This window comes from Homo sapiens, chromosome 4, assembly GCF_000001405.40.
Source record: "Homo sapiens chromosome 4, GRCh38.p14 Primary Assembly".
Lineage (NCBI taxonomy): Eukaryota > Metazoa > Chordata > Mammalia > Primates > Hominidae > Homo > Homo sapiens.
Window position 1 is genome coordinate 111,831,634 of NC_000004.12, and position 20,934 is coordinate 111,852,567.

Sequence of the window (20,934 nt, forward strand, 5' to 3'; positions counted from 1 at the left end):
CCTCACAGAAAAGGAATGAATTGCCAGGTTGGCCACTGCCAGGTTCCCTAGCTTGGAACATACACATTCAGGTGCATCTGTCATACAGGCTTATTTTCAAGACATGCTTAAGTTGTTTCTATCAGATGTGTTTACCATGTATTTGTCAATAGCTTTCTTCAAGAATCACAGCCAGGATGAGGAAGACTTGAAAACAGCACTGTGATCAGAAATTATCCCTTCAGCACAATTTTTCTGATTTTTGTCATTTTGCAAGTCAACATTCAGGGACACCTTGCAGAAATACACTCAGGCACCTGTGTGTACTGTTTATATTTAAGGTTTGTGTTTCTATGTCATTCTTCACTAATACCCAAGATAGCCCTAGGCACTCCTAAAACTATACCAACATTACAAAGTGTCAAGTTAGCACCCCTAAAAAATTATCTCACAGTTACATTTTTAGGACATTCCAAATTCATGGGCTCAGAGGCCTTTCTTGGAGCTCTATCACAGAGGAAGAGACAAGTATATAATGGGCCAGGAGGCTTTCTGTTGTTCTTTCTGTCAAAAATCATTCAGACATGATGTTTATTTGTAGTAGCATTTTTGTCTGGGCTAAAGGAAGATGGATGAACTAAAACCTACTTGGGCTTGTCATTAATGGCCCAAATCAATCATTGAAAAAGGCCACTGCATTACCTCAAGGAGAGGATGAAAGCAATGGCATTTTGGTAAAGAGAGAGATGACTTTACTTCACTGATGGTAATTTTAATCATAAATAATTTATTAATGTCCTCCCTCTTGGTGGTGGACAGATTCTTGATTTATTTATATTAGTGTGGTAAATTGAATCAACTAACTTTACTAAAAGATTAGAAAAATGTTAACCCTATGAAAAGGTAGTAAACAAGCAAGCTACATTCTGTCCTATGTGGTAATATAAGAGATCAACAAAAAGGGTTTGCATCATATTTTCCACAGTACAACCTTTCAAAGTAAAAAAATAATAATTTTGTGGATTGTGCTGAATGTGATGAAACTCCATTAGATCGTGAATTTGAGGTAGGATGGGGTTATCAACGGTTTTGCAAAAGATCACATTTATAGTTCAGAGCTGCCTCAGCTCAGAAGTGTCCTTCATTTATACTCCTTAGTGTATTCACTAAGATAGTAAACGAAAGAAGCTTCATGAATGTCGAATTAGTAGATATCATTTCTGTACTACTTGGTTTCCAGGTCTTTGGGTTCCATAGCAATTGGCATTAGCAAAGATCACAGCCTAGGGGATGGTTAAAATACAATTGTATTCACACTTTTTTTATCCTGCAATAGAAGAGCTATTTTCAATTCGATTGAATACATATATGGGATATAGGCCTAAGAGAGTGACGAATTTAGCTTAGAACAACACTCAGAGGATAAACACATCCCTGTTCTGTGGAATATGCCCACTTTCAACAATGAAGGTGACCCTGCATCGGGAAGTACTTGGCTGGACTAGTTGTTTCCTAGGCTCTTGACCCCAGTGTATTACAACCCGGGATGCTTAAATAACTTGCAAATAAGACTGTAATACCTCTATCAGTGAATGCTAGAGATGAAGAAAAGCCTTATCTAAAAAAAAAAAAGAAGAAGAAGAAGAAGAAACACGAATTGAAGGCTACCAAGCTTGGTATTGATCCTGGTGAAGTTTGTGAAACAAGCCATCAGTGGATGGTTTGTGAGCATTGTAAAGGAGGGTCACTGGATGAAAGATGGAATCACTAAGAGGACACCGTCTTGTCCTTTTTCCTTTTCATTTATTTTGCTTATAGTGTCACTAGAGCAGTTTATTTCTTTGGGAAATGCAGCCCCTCTGGGAAAAAAAAAAGGCTAGTACTAATTTAAAAAGTGAAGAAAGCTGAAGGTGATGGTTCTTTGCCAGAAAATAAAAGTTTGGAAATAGCAAGAGTGAAAAAATAAATTTTATGGTAGTTTAGAAACAATACATAAACAAGTTCACTATGTGATCTATAAAGAAACAAGAAAAAGTTTCATTAAAATAATTCAGTATTTCTTCCAGACCAAAAATAAAAAAATAGTATTTGCTACAGTGGTACTTGCAAATTTTGAAGTCTCAATACAGAAGGTATTATTATCTACAGCATGAATTATTAATTTTGATTCACAGAATCAAAATTACTAGAACTTCCTGAATAGATTTTACTATACAACAATCATTCTTCAAAGTTAGAAAGCCTTCTGTCTTTATTTTGCTGATGAGGCTACTGAGACGCAAGTATTTATTTTTAATGAAAATTGATAAATAAAAGGGGGAATTTAAAATCCAAGTCTCATACAGGTCTATGTACCATACTATTTTCTACATACCTGAAAATTCAACTTTAGTTATATTTTCTTTATACCCTTTGATATGGTTAGGCTGTGTCCCCACCCAAATCTCAACTTGAATTATAGCTTCCATAATTTCCATGTATCATGGAAGGGACCTGGTGGGAGGTAATTAAATCATGGGGGCGATTCTTTCCTATGCCGCTCTCATGATAGTGAATAAGTCTCACAAGATCTGATGGTTTTATAAAGGGCAGTTCCCCTGCACACACTCTGTTGCCTGCTGCCGTGTAAGACATGACTTTGCTCCTCCTTGACCTTCCACCGTGATTGTGAGGCCTCCCCACCAATGTGAGACTGCAAGTCAATTAAACCTCTTTCTTTTGTAAAGTACCCAGTCTTGAGTATGTCTTCATTAGCAGCGTGAGAACAGAATATACCCTCTCATGCATCAAATGGTGAATATGGATTTGGCTGCCCCTTACCAAGCAATTCAAGATGGGTACCTAAGAAAAATCAGTGTATAAGTTACAAATGTAAAATTCTAGGTAAAGACTACAAATAATAACAATTAGAGGAGAAAAAAATGAAATGTACTAGTATTTTTATATCACAGAGATAAAAGATCTTTAAAGTTTTTCTAAAATTTTATGCAGGAAACATCACAGATTTCATTTTATAATTTTGAAATGAAGAAATAATACATCTAATGTGTTCCCAACCCTCCCTATTAGTCATCCTCTATTTTACTACTATACTATTTCTTTGGCTCAGTATTTGTGATTTTCTAAAAGTACACTATTTATACATTTATTTATTTGCTTATTGTCTGTCTTTGCCTGAATTTTACCTTTTTCTAAAATTAAGTTATTTGTACATTTATTTATTATCTCTCTCACTTGTATGGAATTTTGTCTGCTTTGTTGACATCTGATGCCTAAGTAGTATCTGAAATATAGTAAGAATTCAATACATATTCTCTAAAAACAATTTAAAATATGAAAACATATACACATAATATGTGATATATATATTTGCTAGGTGAACGATGTTAATTTAACACACATACATATTTGCTAAAATTCTAACTAAATTTCTTCCTTTTAGCATTGCTACTTTTTCTAAGAATAATGAGCAACTCAGCCCTTCTTTTATTTGCAAGGTCTCCACATTTTCTAGAACATCAATAGAAAGGTTTAAACCTTAAAATATTAAAATGATGGCCTATGGAATGTCTGGATATATCTGCATTTTTCATGATAATCCTAGTAAAAACATGTATTTTATTAATATTTAACCTTTGAAGCAGGTGTGTATTTAAATATTTTAATATATTCGCTGATTATCTTAAGAAGGCACACATGTCAAATTTTAATGCATTATATCTTATTCGGAAATAACAGGAATCTTGGCCTTGTAGTATTGCTAGACCTATAAAATAAAGTATGATCTCATGAGAAAATGGGGACAAATGTAGATGTCTGGTGGAAAGAAAACAAATGCAAGCACAAAGACTAAGTTGAAATATAATAGAGTATTGATACAAGGGAAGAACTTAACTAAAAAGTAAAATAAAACCTTAGAAAACTCTTCAAATGCTGCCACAAAAGCACAATGCTCGCCTTAGTGTTTGTCTAGACTCCATTTATACCTTTATTATTTCCAATTGGGTATACACCAAACATCAAGTCAAAATTATTTTCTGAACACTGGTTCCAGATTATGTCAGATGTTGTGGGTTGTACTTTTAAAATAAACTATAAAATATATAGTAGCCATCTGTCTTAGAATTTTCTGTTCCTTGTTTTTTTAAGGCATAACAGGCAAAAATAGAATCAAATAAAGGAAAACAGCTGTGATGGAAAACTTTGCAAGGCTGATAATTTCACTCTTAAACTAGCACTGAAATTAACACATTAGTCATTTTGAAAAACCAGATTTGTCTTTTTATTAAAAACTGGTGTCTGGGTGCGGGTGGCTCATGCCTGTAATCCCAGCACTTTGGGCAGCTGAAGCAGGTGGATCACGAGGTCAGGAGTTCGAGACCAGGCTGGCCAACATGGCGAAACCCCATCTCTACTAAAAATACAAAAATTAGCCAGCGTGGTGGTGCTGGCCTGTAATCTCAGCTACTCAGGAGACTGAGGCAGGACAATCGTTTGAACTTGGGAAGCAGAGGTTGCAGTGAGCTGAGATCATGCTATTGCACTCCAGCCTGGGCGACAAGAGCAAGACTTCGTCTCAAAAACAAACAAACAAACAAAAAAAACTGGTTTGGATTTTTATAATTAAATTGTCTAATTACATTAGCACCACTTTGTCTCAAGTCATTAATGCTGAAGGAGAATATTATAAAATCTTAAATTTGCACAAACTAAAAATGGCATGCCATTGACATTTATATAACATACTGATATAAAGATTTTACCTAAACTTACCATTTGAAATGGCAGTGAGTTGGCAGCTGCATGAATTAGACTCTCACGATTTCCCATTTGAAATGTGTTTATATGATAGAAATAATATTTCCAGAATTTTGAAGAAATTTCTATAAATGATAAGGTTAATCTAACTTATCATCTGTAAAGTCTAACAAAAAAATCTAACTTATAAAAAATATTTTCCTACCTGAAAAAATACAAGAAGAAAAATGTTATCTATTCATTGTCTCTTCATGGATTCAGAACTCTTAGGACTGTATCTTTGCTCCAGATCATTGTTACTCCCCACCCTGTCACATAAAACTCACTCTGAGAAACGCATGCAATTTTGCCACACTCTCCACTGCTTTCCTGTTACAGTAATCACAGCCTTTGCCATCTGGCCCACAGTCTTCCTCTCCATGTTAAACCCTGCCATCTGTCGGAAGGACTGCAGTGTCCCATCACTAACCCATCCTTCTCAGTTCCTTGGCCTGCTGGTTCCAAGTCACCTTTACTTCCACATGCAACTCAACCACCCGCAACTAGATTGATACCTCAGTCTTAGCTACAACCACAAATGCTCCACCTCCAAAAACACTCCAGGTGGTTTCCTGCTTTCTCACCATACTGCTTCTCCTTCCCACTTGCTTATTCAGCTACTCCTACAACGGTGCTTTGGCCTCATTAGATCACCAGACAGTTGATGGCTCTCCCAATATGTAAGAACTCTTCCTTCTTTACTTTTTTGTTATCCAAGTACAATCATGCACCCCATAATGATGCTTCATTCAACCATGGACTTCCCAAAAAATAACGTAGCTGAAAAATTCCTTTCGCCTGGTGACATCATAGATGTCCTAATGTCACAGCACAACGTATTACTCATGTGTCTGCGGTGATGTTGGTATAAACAAACCTATTGTGCTACCAGTTGTATAAAAGTGTAACACATACAATTATCTACAGTATATAATTCTTGATAATAAGCAACAATGTTACTGGTTTATATATTTACTACACCTTTATCATTATTTTAGAGTATACTCTTTCTACTTACTAAAAAGAAATTTAACTGTAAAACAGGCAGGTCCTTCAGGAGGTATCCAGAAGAAGGCACTGTTATCACAGGAGATGACAGCTCCATGTGTGTTATTACCCCTGAAGACCTTCCAGTGGGACAAGATGTGGAGGTGGAGATGGTGATATTGATGATCCTGGCCCTGCGTAGGCCTAGGCTAGTGTATGTGTTTGTGTCTTGGTTATTAACAAAAGAGCTTAAAAAGTAAAAAATAAAAATAAAAGTAAACATTTTCAAATACAAAAAAAGTTTATAGAAAATGATATAAAGAAGGAAAATATTTTTTGTTCAGCTGTACCTGTGTTTGTGTTTTAAGTCTTACTACAAAGGAATCAAAACATTAAAAAAATGAAAAGTTTATAAAGTTAAAAAGTTACAGTAAACTAGGGTTAATTTATTATTGAAGAAAGAAGAATATTTTTTATAGGTTTAGTACAGCCGAAGGGCACAGTGTTGATAAAGTCTACAGTAGTGTACAGTAATGCCCTAGGCCTTCACATTCCCTCACCACTCACTCACTGACTCACCTGCAATAACTTCCATTCCTGCAAGCTCCATTCGTAGTAAGTAACCTCTCCAGGTATACCATTTTTAATCTTTTATATCATACTTTTACTAAACCATTTTTATGTTTAGATTCACAAATACTTATCATTGTGTTATAATTAATTGCCTATATTTAGTACAGTAACATGCTGTATAGATTTGTAGCCTAGGAGGAATAGGCTATACTGTGTAGCCCAAGTGTATAGTAGACTATACTGTCCAGGTGTGTATAAGTACACTATGGCATTCTCACAACGACAAAATTGCCTAACAACATATTTCATATGTAGCAATTATAGCCAGCTGGAAGATATAAAGGGGAAAAATACTTCATTTAAAATATCAATAAAAGAGATTTAAAAAAAATACTTAGTATGTAATTTAGCATTAGGTCCAGCTTCATACAACAACAACAAATAAACAGTGGCTTAGTCACACAGTGGTTATTGTTTCATGTGAAATGTCCCGTGGTCCAATCCAAGACAGGAATAGATGTTTTACATATCCCAGGGGTGCCAGGCTCCCTCCAGCTTTCTGCTCTGGCCCTGGTGTCCCATTCTTACTACAAGAAAGAAGAAAGAGAAGAGCATGCCCCTCGCTTGGAAAACACTCCTCAAAATTGCACATACCACTTCCACTCATATCCCACTGTCTAAAACTCAGTCATATGGCCAGGCTTAACTGCAAGAGAGGCTGTGAAATGTAGCCTTTGTTCTGAGTGGTCATACGCCAGCTAAGATTCAGAGCTTCCACTATCGGGAAAGAAAAGGGGAAATGATACTGGGAGACAACTAGCAGTCTCTGTCACACCTAAGAATAAGTTTAAGAAAAAAAATATGTAATATCTATAAGAAATACTTTCAAACTGCCTGTTAGATACAAAATAGGATCTAAACAAATACAAAGCACACCACATTCTTGGGTGAGCAAAGAGAGATTTTGCCTTGATAATCCACAAAAAAAGGTCTAATAGCCATGAATTTGGATGCCTCAAGTAGTATAGCATAAATTTGTATAAAACAAAACTGTTAAGTATATGTGTAAATGGCAGAAAGACAATTATAGTAATAGATCTCAACCTTTGGCAGATCAAACAAAAATAAGGCCATAATTATTTTTAACAGTAGAATAAATAACATCCAGATGGCAGCTAAAGTCATCTTTCTGTCAAAAATAAAATTGGCAAATGCCCCCATTACTTGTCTGGCAAAGGTTCAATGGCCTCCCCAAAACTTCTGGGAATCTCCATGTCTTTCATTCTTGAGATTCCCTCCAGCCTTGTCCCTGCCCTCTGAATCTCATTAGTTCTTGCCTCCTGTCTCATTCCCCTTTATACATTCCGCATAGACCCAGATGCGGGACACAGACCCTTTTCTTCATCTAGCTAACAACAGCTCACAAAGGCCTTTTTTGTTTATAGTCAAGTTAACTGAAAGTTTGGGGCAGTAGAGTGGGATGACAGCCCTGACAAGCAAACTGCTTATAAGCACACACAGGCAGACTATTTTCAGAAGTCTTTAGGCTTTGGCTACCACACTGCAACAAATTTCTCCCTCAAATTCCTAGTAAATCTAGCTTCTTGCCTTGTTACCTGCTTCCTGCTTGCCTTAAGAATTCTGTCCTAACATTTCCCTATTTCTCTGTTTTTCAGGTCTACCCCATTCTGCATCATCTCAGAAAATAAATTTTGCTTATTTTTTTAAATATTAGAGATAACTCCAACAGGTAGCATGGGTGAAACATATTGGGGGGCTACAATATCACCATAATTTCACTCAGACTCCATAGAGTCATGCAAAATAAATATATACTCAATAGTGCACTGCAGCCAGCTCATAGTTGCTCATAAGAGTGGATTATAATATCTCTTCCCTACTCTCCATGCAGTAACTTCACATCAGTAGGTTGAAATCCTCATATTGAAAGTATTTACAACATAGAAGCTGGCAAACACTCCGAATATCAGTGATTTTTTGTTTTGGCTAGGTTTGGGATTGAGGTTTTTTTTGCGGTTTTTAGTGAGCTGTTTGTTTGAGGAGCCTGCTTACCAGCACAACACTGCCTAAATCCTAAGAAAACTGTGTTTAATGTGCAAATGAAGATTCAAGTCTGTTAACTCATGTTCCTGCCACACGAGCCAGCTAAACCCTCCAAGGCAGTGATAAGAAGAGGGAGAAGACTCTAAGCAAAAGATGACTCCATCACTCGGATCCACAGAGACCACAGGAACATGACACTCTGCCTATTCTAGTCCATGTAACAACATTGATTAAAACAGTTGAGGCAACACGGATATGAAACTGTATAATTTAGTAACTTAAAATCGTTAATTACACTGAACTGACCAGAGTTCAATCCTGAGAACAAAGAAACACTATTATACCACATTCTTCCTTTTTTTTTTTTTTTTTTGGAGACGGAGTTTCGCTCTTGTTGCCCAACAACAAGAGCTGGAGTGCAATGGCATGATCTCAGCTCACTGTAACCTCCGCGTCTCAGTTTCAAGCAATTCTACTGCCTCAGCCTCCCAAACAGGTGGGATTACAGGCACCTGCCACCACACCCAGCTAACTTTTGTATTTTTAGTAGAGACGGGGTTTCACCATGTTGGCCAAGCTGGTCTCGAACTCCTGACCTCAGGTGATCCGCCCACCTTAGCCTCCCAAAATGCTGGGATTATAGGTGTGAGCCACCACGCCCAGCCTATTATACCACATTCTAAAGTGAGGCACTAGGGATCAATATCTCTCACATGATCTAGTGAAAAGCAACCCCCAGCCTGTGCCCATCCCTGCCCATCCCAACCAGCTATATAAGGAGAAGACTGGAGGGAGAGAGGGAAGAGTTGCTATAGTCACTGGGCTTGTGTGGACTATAGTGTTCATGGAAAAAGGTACTACCCAGCCCTTAAGCCAAGGTGGCAGGAAGGGATTTCACGATTACTGAATGGGATTTGACAATTACTGAATATAATTTCTTACTGCCTTCAAGATGAGCGACTGCCTTGCATTTGGAGAAAGACTATACTATCTATCTGCTAGGACTTGCTGACCATTCCCTATGAATTAAAGAGAGATGATGGCACACTAAGAAAGAGGAAGACAGTGCAGCAGCCAAGTTAACATTTGCAATGGTAACGGTGTGTGAGTTTCTTATAGGTCCAAGGACACCAGAAAAGGAGCTAGTCTTGAGTCCTTTTTGCCAGTTCCTCATCCTCCAGGCAAAGGGGCTCCAGCAGGGGGAAGCTGTGGGATCCACCTCTGTGGATAGGAGCTGAGTAGAAGGAATTACAAGTACTTGTGCCAAAGAAGATGCTCCTTGCAACAAAACTGAGCCATAGGAAATTCTCACAGGACAAGGCAAAAAACTCACATACACCTACCATAAGAACAACTCTTTCAATGCCTGCACACAAAGATGCCATCAGGAGAAGCCTGTCAAGATTATTAGCAGAAGAGCAACATAAACCTGCATGAGCCAACAAAGGAAGAAGCACAAATACCCCTGGGTAAAGCAGATTGGCACTCTGGCACTTTCTTTCTTACTGTTGTCCCCAAACACAGAAGTTAGAGTCTGGATGAGGGGTAAAAGTGAGGGAGCACAAGAACAGGCCAAGTTAATCTCCCCACTCAAAAACCCTTGAAATATGGCATTAAGTCATGACGTGACATGGGAACGCTTTAGAGCAAGAATGAAAGGGGAACTTTAAACTTGATTGCGTTGAGTTTTTAAATCTAAGAGTGTTCAAAGGTCCTAAATCTGTCTACAAGGTCCTTAAAAGAAAGAAATAGAGGATTTGATAAATATCGAAAGCAGTGATTAGAGAAACGTAAAAAATTTCATGTTTATATTCCACACAGTTGAGATCCACTTCTTTAAAAACACAGCTTATTTGGATTTACGCAAAACAGAAACTCAAACAAAACTTGCTTCCTTTGTTTCTTTTCTTCTCTCCTCCCAGTTCCCTGTCAGTGCTCCCTCAGGGAAGTCTAATATGACATGGCTCCCTATGGGTTGATACTGGCTTATGCTGCTCTTCTAGCTAATCCTGACAGTCTGTTGATGGTGACATCTCCTGTGAAAGGCACTGCAAGAGGTAAACTCTTGCCAAGGGTACCTGTTAGTGCTTCACCCTAGCCTGGGCCTCAGCTCTCTGGCATGGCAGATCAAGCCGGTACTTCCAGATCCTTTCATTGGCATGTCTTTGTATAATGGTCATTGTAGTGTCTTAGTTCATGTGTGCTGCTATAACAAAATACCTAAGACTGGGTAATTTATAAAAAGATAGAAGTGTGCTTCTCAGAGTTTTGGAGGATGTAAGTTCAAGATCAAGGCACTGACATTTGGAATCTGGGGAAGTACTCCTTGTTGGTCCTCACATGGCCAACAGCAAAAGGGTAAAAAGGGCCAAACTCGCCCCCTTTTATAAGAACACCTAATCACATTCACGAGGGCAGAGACCTCATGACTTAATCACCAACCCACAGGTTCCACCTCTTAATACTACCATGGGAATTAAGTTTCAACATGAATTTGGGGGAGGACACCATCATTCAAACCGTAGCATATGGTAAGTGGTTTGGCATCTTAGGCTATTTCTCATGTGTCACTTATGCAATCATTCCTTGATGATAAATCCAATGTTAGCTGATTTACTTCCAAGTCTGTGCAAAAGATGTTATATACTGTTGCAGTAATGCAAAGAACCAAATATTTGTTTTCTACAATAAACACAAGTTGGTACTAACTGGTTTATCTTTTTTCATTCACTTTCCTTGTACTTACAGTCCTGTAGGTTTTTTTTAAACTCAAAAATTGTTTCCCTCTAATTGCAGGCTACTTATTTTTAAAATATTATTTAAACTTAAATACATATTATTGCAAACTTTACTTTTCATCGTTTTACTTTTCAACAAAGACAAGGTCTCTAATCTCTCCCTCCACTCAAATTGCCACTCTCAAACCTCACTATGTATTTGCGCAGTATTAGCTCTCTACAAGTCCAAAGCTTGGATTATATGTTTTGATAAGCAAATGGCTCAACACTTTGAGTTGAACACAGAAGAACTGATAGAAACTTTGAAAGTTCAGCCTTTCTTCTCTCCCACCTACACCAATCTCTTTTCCCAATAAAATGAATAACATCATTCTTGCCCTCCCTCAGAAAACTAAAAGAGTTACAATTGTTTTATTTTTTTAAATAAACCCCCCCCTCCAATATAAGTAGGCATATTGGAGGATGCAAACGAAGAAGTAATAGGCCAAATTCACTCAGTCAACACAGCTAAGTTTGAGGAGGTATATCCATATAATCTGTTTGTTTGTTTGTTTGTTTGTTTGTTTGTTTGTTTGTGAAGGAGTCTTGTTCTGTTGCCCAGGCTGGAGTGCAGTGGCTTGATCTCCACTCACTGCAACCTCTACCTCCCAGGTTCAAGGGATTCTCCTACCTCAGCCCCCTGAGTAGCTGGAATTACAGGCACACGCCACCACGCCCAGCTAATTTTTGTATTTTTAGTAGAGACAGGGTTTCACCATGCTGGTCAGGATGGTCTTGAATTCCTGACCTCGTGATCCACCCACCTCGGCCTCCCAAAGTGCTAGGATTATAGGCGTGAGCCACCGTGCCCGGCTCGTATAGTCATTTTTAAAAAATTTTTTGGATTTGTGTCTTCAGGCCAAATATGTGCTCTTCCTGTTACTTCATTTACACCCCTCTTTATTGAATGACATCTGGCTGTTGAGCACTTTCATGTCAATGTCTTGACTTCTGAAGGTGTTTGGATTGACCTGAAACAAATATTGAATGTATAGATGCATATATATCTATGTCTTCCACTAACAGGAAATATGTCTTCTTTTCAAACAATCATAAAACATTTGTAAATATTGTTTCAAGAATGGACAAACAAATCAACAGAACAATAGAGACCATCTTAAGGCCAAAAAACTAAATGAAACCATTTTATATATAAATGTGTATATATTTGTATATATGTATATATATAATATAAATATATTTGTATAAAATATATTTATGTTATATATACATATATGCATATATAATATAAATATATATACATTAATAAAATATATAAATAAATACATATTATATATGAATTATATATAATTAATATATAATATATTAAATTATAATTAAACTATATTATATATTAATTATATGTAATTTATATAAATAATAATATATAAATAAAATATATATACATATATACATGAATGAATCATTACAAACTAATGCATGCAGATGAATTATCCAAATGTTCTGAGGAAATTATACTTTTGAGGAACAGATTAAGTTGGGTTGCAATTTTATAATGCCATCCATGAAAATAAATTTAATAAAAAAATAAAAGCAGAAAACAAATGTAAATTGGCAACTGTTTAACTGATCTCAGAATTATCAGAATGGATAAGAGCTTTCTAAACTGGGAAAAAAATGAAATTCCTCATTAGGAAATTCTAAACTTACCTATGTAAAATTTGAAGATCTCTGAAGAGCAAAGCCTCTGCAGAAAATTGTAAGACAATTCAAACTGAGAATATTATTTATATCCATGCTGACTGATATTTAATAATATTTTCTATATTAAAAACTTACTCAAACTCATAAAGGAGACACTAAAACTTAGACTGAAAATAGACATGAATACAAAATTCACAGAAGATGGCATATAAATTGTTAATAAGATATGAAATAAAATATTCAAGTTATTAATAAATAGAGATACCAGTTAAAACAGACAATACGATGTTTTCTAAGTTGTCCTTTTTTAAAAGATAATATTTAGTGCTGCCATGAGTGTATTGAGAAAAGTCTCTCACACACACCTGGTGGGAAAGATAAACTGGTATAAACTTTCTGGAAAATAATCAGACAACATGAACAAAAATTAACAAATATATTGCTATTTAACCCAAAGGAAATAGGCAGAAATAAGAATAAAGATGTATATTGAAAGAATTTCATAATAGGTTGTAAATAAAAACAAATATTGGATACAACCTAACTTTGAATAATAGAAAAATAATTAAACAAATAATTTTTGAAGAATTTGCATGTGATTAACACGCAAATGTTTTAATGTAACATTAGGTGGAAAAGTATATGTATTCATATATTTCAACTCAGACAAATTCTAAACCACATTAAAAAACACAAAGAAAATAAAACAATGTAATTAACTACCTTAATTATATTTAGGTAGTACAATTACAAAAGTTGTACTTTCTCCTAAAAATGGCTCAATATTTTCTAAATTTTGTAATGCACATGTATTATTAAAAGTTTTTAAAAGTACTCTTTGAGCACTGACTATATTTTTTAATAGTTTGGAAATATCTCTTGAAAACACTTAAAATATAGCTTTATATCACAATGAGCCTGGCACTGCTGTCACAGCACAGAGTTCAGATCTGAAGTATCTATTGCAAGACTGTTAGAGACAGGCAGAAGGGCAATGAATTTTCCTGCACCTGAGAAGCACACAGTCTAGCAAAGACACAGACAAGGAAGTCGACTACTAGAATAGAAACTGCTAAATGCTATAACTGAGACACTCAGGTGGAAGCACAGTCAAAAAACAGTTTAATTCAACAGCGAAGACATGGAATCAACCTAAATGCCCATCAGTGATAAACTGATGTGGTATGTATACACCATGGAATACTATGCAGCCATAAAAAAGAATGAGATCATGTCCTTTGCAGGGCTGGAGGCTATTATTCTCAGCAAACTAATACAAAAACAAAAACCAAAATTCCACATGTTCTACTTATAAGTGGGACCTAAATGATGAGAACACATGGACACATAGAAGGGGACAACACTCACTGGGGTCTATCAGAGGGTGGAGGGTGGGAGCAAGAAGAGGATCAGGAAAAATAACTAATGGGTACTAGGTTGCATACCTGGGTGATGAAATAATCTGTACAACAAACCACCATGACACAAGTTTACCTATGTAACAAACCTGCACATGTACCCCTGAACTTAATAGAAGTTTTTTTTTTACATGAATTCACCCCAGAGGAAGGAGGGTGCATGACTGGAAAAATTTCCGAGGAGAAGTTAACATCTGATCTGACTCGTTCTTCTCTTCTCCCCCCTCACTCTTTCTTTTCTTCTCAAAGTAGGTTAGAGACAGAGGAGGCACAGTAAAGAGATAGAGCTTTTAAAATAGGGAAACAAAGTCATGTTATGAGGGGTTGTTAAAATCAGCTGGAGTAGGGATTATTTATTTTTATTATCTCAACTCTGAGAACTCTGAAAATCTAAGGCCCCTTCCTGATACATAGAGGGGGGAAATACCACCCTGATAGAACTAGAAATGGGAAGTGTTGAGGATTCTGCTGTGTCTCAGGCATGGAATTTAGATCCTGGGGGCGGGATGTAGCAGAGAGAGATTCTTCAAGAAAAGACAAGCTGCACAGCTGCAAGGAGTGAATTGTGAGACTGACAACTTCCAGAAGTCACTCTTTTCCGGGAGCAGGAGCTAGCCAATGACTGAACAGTGATTCACAGGGCCGGCTATTTCCACCCAATGTGTACTCCTCTGGAGAGCAGTCATGGCTCCTGACCTCCCTGTTGGGCTCCATCAGATGGCATCGCAATCTGATGATTTCCCCACCCATTTCTGCGTTCTTCACTCTTGCACTCCTACTCAGTCTCTATATTTGCTTCTCAGAGAACCCAATGATCACAGGCAAGGTAAGTCCAAAAAGTCCAGAGAAGTGCAGGCAAAGAAGAGAAGAGAAAAGAAACAGAACCAGAGAAAAAAAGAGAAATGTTGGCCTCTCATGAGATGAACTTGGCCAATAGTAATATAATTTTCTTTCTGGAAATGTTATGTTAGCTGTTGCAGGCTTTACTAAGAAGCACACAAGAGACATGCAGTGAGGTTACAGCACGTATAGCAATCAGGAGGAATGAGACCTTTAGAGAACTGGCACCACCTGGTTGGTTTGGATGAATAAAAAAAAATGTACATTGGGACACAACAAAAATTTGGCCTGGAGACTTAGGAGCCAGACCATGGGGAATGCTGTATCCTATGTCAAGTAAATGAGTACATTTCCTTACAACTTTCTTAAATGCCTTCTTTTTGACCTCCATTATTACTATAATCCTATGCAAGGACAATGGAATTACATAAAAATCCTCAGTGAAATTTATTAATACAATACTTTCAGTGAATATTGGAAACAAAATCAAATATCAGAGAGGAAGCATGCATTTTCCTGCTAGAACATCCACTTATCCTTGTGTCTGGCAGGCTATTAACTCCAATTATAACAAAACAGGTGGCAATTTGAGCACATATAAGATTTAGTTAAGATATGTGTTTAAAGGTTTTTATCACCAGTGTGCTCTCAGACGATAACAATTTCTCTGTGATGTGGTGTCTCCCAGATCAAAGTTTCCAGATGTCTTTACAAAACTGTAGGGAACCATCTATCCAGAGAGCTCTTCTTTCCTGTGACATAAGTTTGCCTTTCAGACATGTCACAATCACTTAACCATGACTCACAACCACTTTGTGTGGACACCTACATGAAATTGATTGTTGTTTACAAGGCTTTGGAACTAGGCTAGTTCCTCGTGGCCTTTGCTTCACTGTTATCTATCACACAATGACAAGACAGTAAGTACATAAATTCATTTTGTTTCAAGTGTTACAAAGAACAAAAGAGGCCAAATAGCCCATAAGGTAGTCTCCTAAATGGATATTTTCCGGTGATATCCCATGGCCCTCACTGGTTGACACTGCCCTATAAAACATTCCTACAGCAGATGTCTGTGTCTGTGGTAATGACCCAGATGGGCTCAGGTTGAGAATTGCTTGAAAGCAGGGGTTTTGTCTTATTATTCTTTGCGTCTGTAGTGCCTAGAGTGACCAGTAGATGGAAATTGTTGGTTCGCATTTCAGCTTTGCAAATCAGGAATATGTTCTCTAAAAGCTGTGACATTGCTCCAGTGATTGAGCTAGAAATGGAACTAAAACGGAGGGAAAGAGCTTAGTAAATTTTTTCTTAAACTTTTTTTATTAAAGTCCTTTATGAAGTAAATGGCCCATGAGAATCCATCCTCAGTAACTTTCTCTCATCCAGTCGTACGTGGCTGACTTCTGCAAAGCCTGATGTGCCATTGCCTAGCAAGAACTCCACAAAGTATGGGGAGCTACCAGCTGTAAATATACTGCACTTCCCTAGAATTAATTTCTATGACACTAATGAAAGTTTTGCAATTGTGCATATTGACTACCAAACAGACTTAAAATGTCAACTTTTTATTTATGTTCTATCAAAGCAATTCTATAGCATGCTTTTTTGCCTCCATCAGGATTATCATAAATTAAACCAGTATGAATGATGAAAAATAAATTTTAAAAAAGAAAACTGATATGAATAAGCTTAAACAAAAGTGCCAATAACAAAACAACGAAAAATGTAAATGCCACTTGATTCGCCTTTCCTTCGTGTCCCTGCCCTCTCCTTTTCTTTTCCCCAAAGGGTTCTATAAACTATACTGAACAGACTAATGCTCTAAGGCCCTGACTCCTGCTCCTCGGGAGCTTGATCATAAATTACGGTTGTACAAATTTGTAAAAGGCTTCATCTGTAAGCTTAGCTAAAGCACACATGTAAAAAAATTTTTAAATAACAATAATTTTTTAGAAGGAGATATAAACAAATGAAGAACTTAACCATCTAAGGAAATCACAAAATGAATAGATTGTTCAATATTTTCCTTCACATTCCTTAACAACATTACAGTTGACCAGAAACATGTATGCTATCATTCACCAAAATGCAGAACGGAAATCTAGTTTAATTTGAAGCAGACAGGTTAAAAGGCAACGCTTTATTGGAGAAATTTTCATGTTAAAATTAATAAGAATTGGATAAAAATTGTGAAATAAACTAGCTTGCCTTTGACATCTTCCCCAATTCAAGGAAGAACATTTTCCTACCATTTGTATTTCCTCTTGCCCCTCTCACCGCCTAGATTTATTTTTTGTTCCCTTAATGAATTATTATGTTTGTATTACTAAAATAATATCTATTTTTAGGCAGCATTTAACCTCAGAAAGTGCTGTGTATCTCTTTATGATATCACCTACCAAATATATTGGCATGTTTATATAACTCTCTCTCCAAAATATAAATTCTTCCAGCCAGAAACTTTGAGCCTTCAGTGCCTTCTTAGTAAATGGCATATATTAGGGACTCAATATTTATTTCTTATTAAAATAAACAAAACATATCCACAAGTTCACCACTCAGAGTTATTTTCTTTTATATTTTTCTATATTTATTTCCAATGTTTTTATTTTATTGTTTCTGGATCATTTTTTAGGTTGGAAAATAATACAAAAAAATTTTTTTGGATAAGAAAATTCTAACATTCAAAAAGCCCTTCAGGATCAAACAAATAAATCTTAAGTGGTAGAAATGAAGATGGATGTTCCAGAAAGCCAGAGAACATACCATCATTGCCCACATTATGATACCTGCTACTCCACTTCTTTGTAATGTTAACCCTCTGCTGTTAAGGAACCAACATTTTTTCTATAAGAGATAAAAGATATACCAATAAAATAAACTCAGGAAGAACCATGAAATATTAAATATAAGTTGGAAATTTCAGTGTGAGCTCACCATTTTGTTGTATGGTTTTCTAGCTCTAATTTCTAATGAATATAGAAATGATGATATCTCTGTAGCAATGAGCACATCTTGTGCCCAGGTCTTGTATTCTAACCACCATTCTTCACTGAAAGAAACCACAGGAACTTAAAAAAATATTTATTTCATGTTTGAGTCTGGGAAAATACAAACTGAATTTGAGAAATCTTGTTGCACTAGAAAAAAATAGAAGTGCTCAAAGACTATTTAGGTTGTATTAATGATTTATTGCTACATAAGAAATTACTCCCAAACTTAGGGGCTTAAAACAATAAACATTTATTATCTCACAGTTCTGTGGATCAGAAATAGGAGAGTGGCTTAACTGGCTGGATCCTCTGACTCAGTCTGTAACAAGACTGCAATGAAGTTGTCAGGCAGGCTGCAGCTCTCTGCAGGCTCAACTGAAAGAGGATCTGCTTATAAGCTCACTCCCGGCTGTGGACAATATTTGCTTCCTCATGGCTGTTGGACTGAAAATTTAAGTTACTAATCAGCTATTGATCAAAGGCCTCTTTTATCTTCCAGCCACATGGACTTCCTCATAGGGAAGCTTACAATATGGCACCTCACTTTCATTATGGAGAGCAAGCAAGAGAGTAAGAGAAGGTAAGCAAGACAGAAGCCACAGGCTTTTTATGACCTAACATCAGACATTACATACTATTCACTTTTGCCCTGTCTTCTTTTGGTAGAAGTGAATCACTAGGTCCAGCCCACCCTCAAGGAGAGGAATTATGTAAGGTCATGAATACCAAGAAGCAGGGATTATCCAAAACCATTCTAGAGGCTGCCTATCACATGGATCATGTCAAAGATCAAAGGAACAGCTTGAATGGGCTCCAATTGAGTTGACCATTTAGGGAAATTTGACCATCTATAAGAATAAATATAATAATTTATTATGATATAATAGATTTTAAAAATCCATGAGTCCATACTGATTTTTAAAAAGTGGGAAGCAGAGAATTACATTCTTATTTATAAAAGAATTCCAGCTAATAAATGTAGAAGAAATGATAGAATTAGAGAATCATCATTTTATAACCCCCAAATGTAATAAAGGATTCAGACAAGGATTACTGCAAGGAGTTAAAACCATTAGGTCGAATGTAGTTGTGTAGCATGATAGTCATATAGTGCCAAAATATCATCTAACATTGAATATTAATTAACAATAGCAAAAATGTTTTGCCTTTTTCAGTAGCAATTCTGACGATTAGCACTCAGCCAATCACTAATAGTTGGATAACTTTATATTATATGCTCCCTGATATAATGTAATACAAAGTATACATCATCTGTAAAATCTTTTTGTCACAAATGTTTAAATTTAATCTTATCAGGTTTTTCAACAAACATTCAATTTACAGGAAATATAGGAGATGGAAGAATAAGTTAAATAATGTCATGAGGAAGTAATCAGAAAAATCTAGAATATGTGAAATTCTAAGAGAAAATTGTCATAGACTTCAAAATGCTCTGCCATGGAAAAAAAAAATTTTTTAAATGAATGACTGTTCTAGATAAGACTAAAGAGCAATGAAAAACAAATGTAATATGTGAGCCCTGATTGGATTGTGCACAAAGTAAAAAAGAAATTGTTTAAGTTTCAGGAGGATGCAATTCAAAGACAGCGCAGACACATAGTACTAAGATATAAAATAAGGTTTATTGAGTGAAAGACTTGAAGCAGAGTGCATGCATTCCCCATAACTCTTATAATCTCACAATTTAGACTGGACATACATGACCTCTGAGTGCCTGGCTAATGTTCCAGTAGAGAGAGTCCCTTTCTCATTGATAAGGTTCTATATATTTATAGGATGTAGCCCAGGCAGGGATAATCTATGCAACCATGCAACACTGGAAGCTCATAGGTTGAGAAATGGTCTCAGTAGAAATACGAAACCTCCAGAGTCCAGTGGCTGGTATTAGCCTCTTATTCCATGGAGCTAACTTAGACTTGCTGAGAAGTGCTCTGTAAAGCTATTGAAAAGAACCCCCAAGACCATCATGGAACTCTTATCAGGGAAAAATTGGAGAAATTTTAAAATGAACTGGATAGTAAATAAATTGCTGAATGACTGTACATTTCCTTAAGTGTGATAATGATTTTGTGGTTAGGTATGAAAAAGCCCTTTGTTCTTAGAAAGTACATGATGAAGGATCCAGAAGTCAAGTGTCATGATGTCTGCAACTTATTTTCAAATAGCTTTTTTTTTAAGTAAATGTGTGCCAAGAGAGACAAAGGAAATTTGGAGTTTTCTTTTAAATAAAACGTTAGGGAGAAATGAGGACTGTCTTGACTCTTCAGTAAAGTAGAAGTAAATTTACAAACATTATGAAAATATGTTTTCTAGTTCTTCTCTGATTAAAAAACAACATAATGTAGACTGTCTCAGAGGCTAGACTGTTGGCTGCAAATAATTGACCTTTGGAAGCCAGATTAAATTATTCAAGACAATTTTGTTCCTAGAACAGTGAAAGGAGGACATGAAAAATAATATGCTCATGGGAAAAATTTATCTAGGTCCTTTTGAATCTCTTCTTGTGTCTAATTTAAAATTTATCTTTATACATGGTTGGCATATTGGCTATTTCATTGAGCAGACTGTGACACTGATCCAGCCAAATTGGAAACAAAATTTGTTGTCATTTAAAATTATTTCTCTTAACTATAATAATGTGTATTCCTTAATAAAATATCTGTTACTTTCTACTTATTGCTAAGCTATCATTTGTTAAAATACAGCTTTTTGTTAAACAACAGTAAGATGCTGACCCAAGAAACACATTAAGGGAATAAAAGAAAAATATTTCATTTGCTATAGTATTCTGGCCTCCATGAATAGTTCTCCCATACCCGA

The 20,934-nt window shown here is 36.1% G+C and overlaps 2 long non-coding RNA genes across 6 annotated transcripts in view; one reads left to right on the forward strand and one right to left on the reverse strand.

Annotated features, from left to right (window-relative positions):
• Nucleotides 1-20,934, reverse strand: part of LINC02945 (long intergenic non-protein coding RNA 2945) — a 308,805-nt gene that overhangs the window by 28,168 nt on the left and 259,703 nt on the right. The window lies entirely within an intron of this gene.
• LOC105377369 (uncharacterized) overlaps nucleotides 14,656-20,934 on the forward strand; it is a 77,408-nt gene continuing 71,129 nt past the window's right edge. Inside the window, exons 1-2 of one of the 2 annotated variants that reach the window (XR_939077.3) lie at nucleotides 14,656-15,086; nucleotides 18,593-18,673. This is a non-coding gene — a long non-coding RNA (uncharacterized LOC105377369). Of the gene's footprint in view, nucleotides 15,087-15,931; nucleotides 16,021-18,592; nucleotides 18,674-20,934 lie in introns of those variants that run through there. The other variant, XR_939076.3, reaches the window with a different exon arrangement.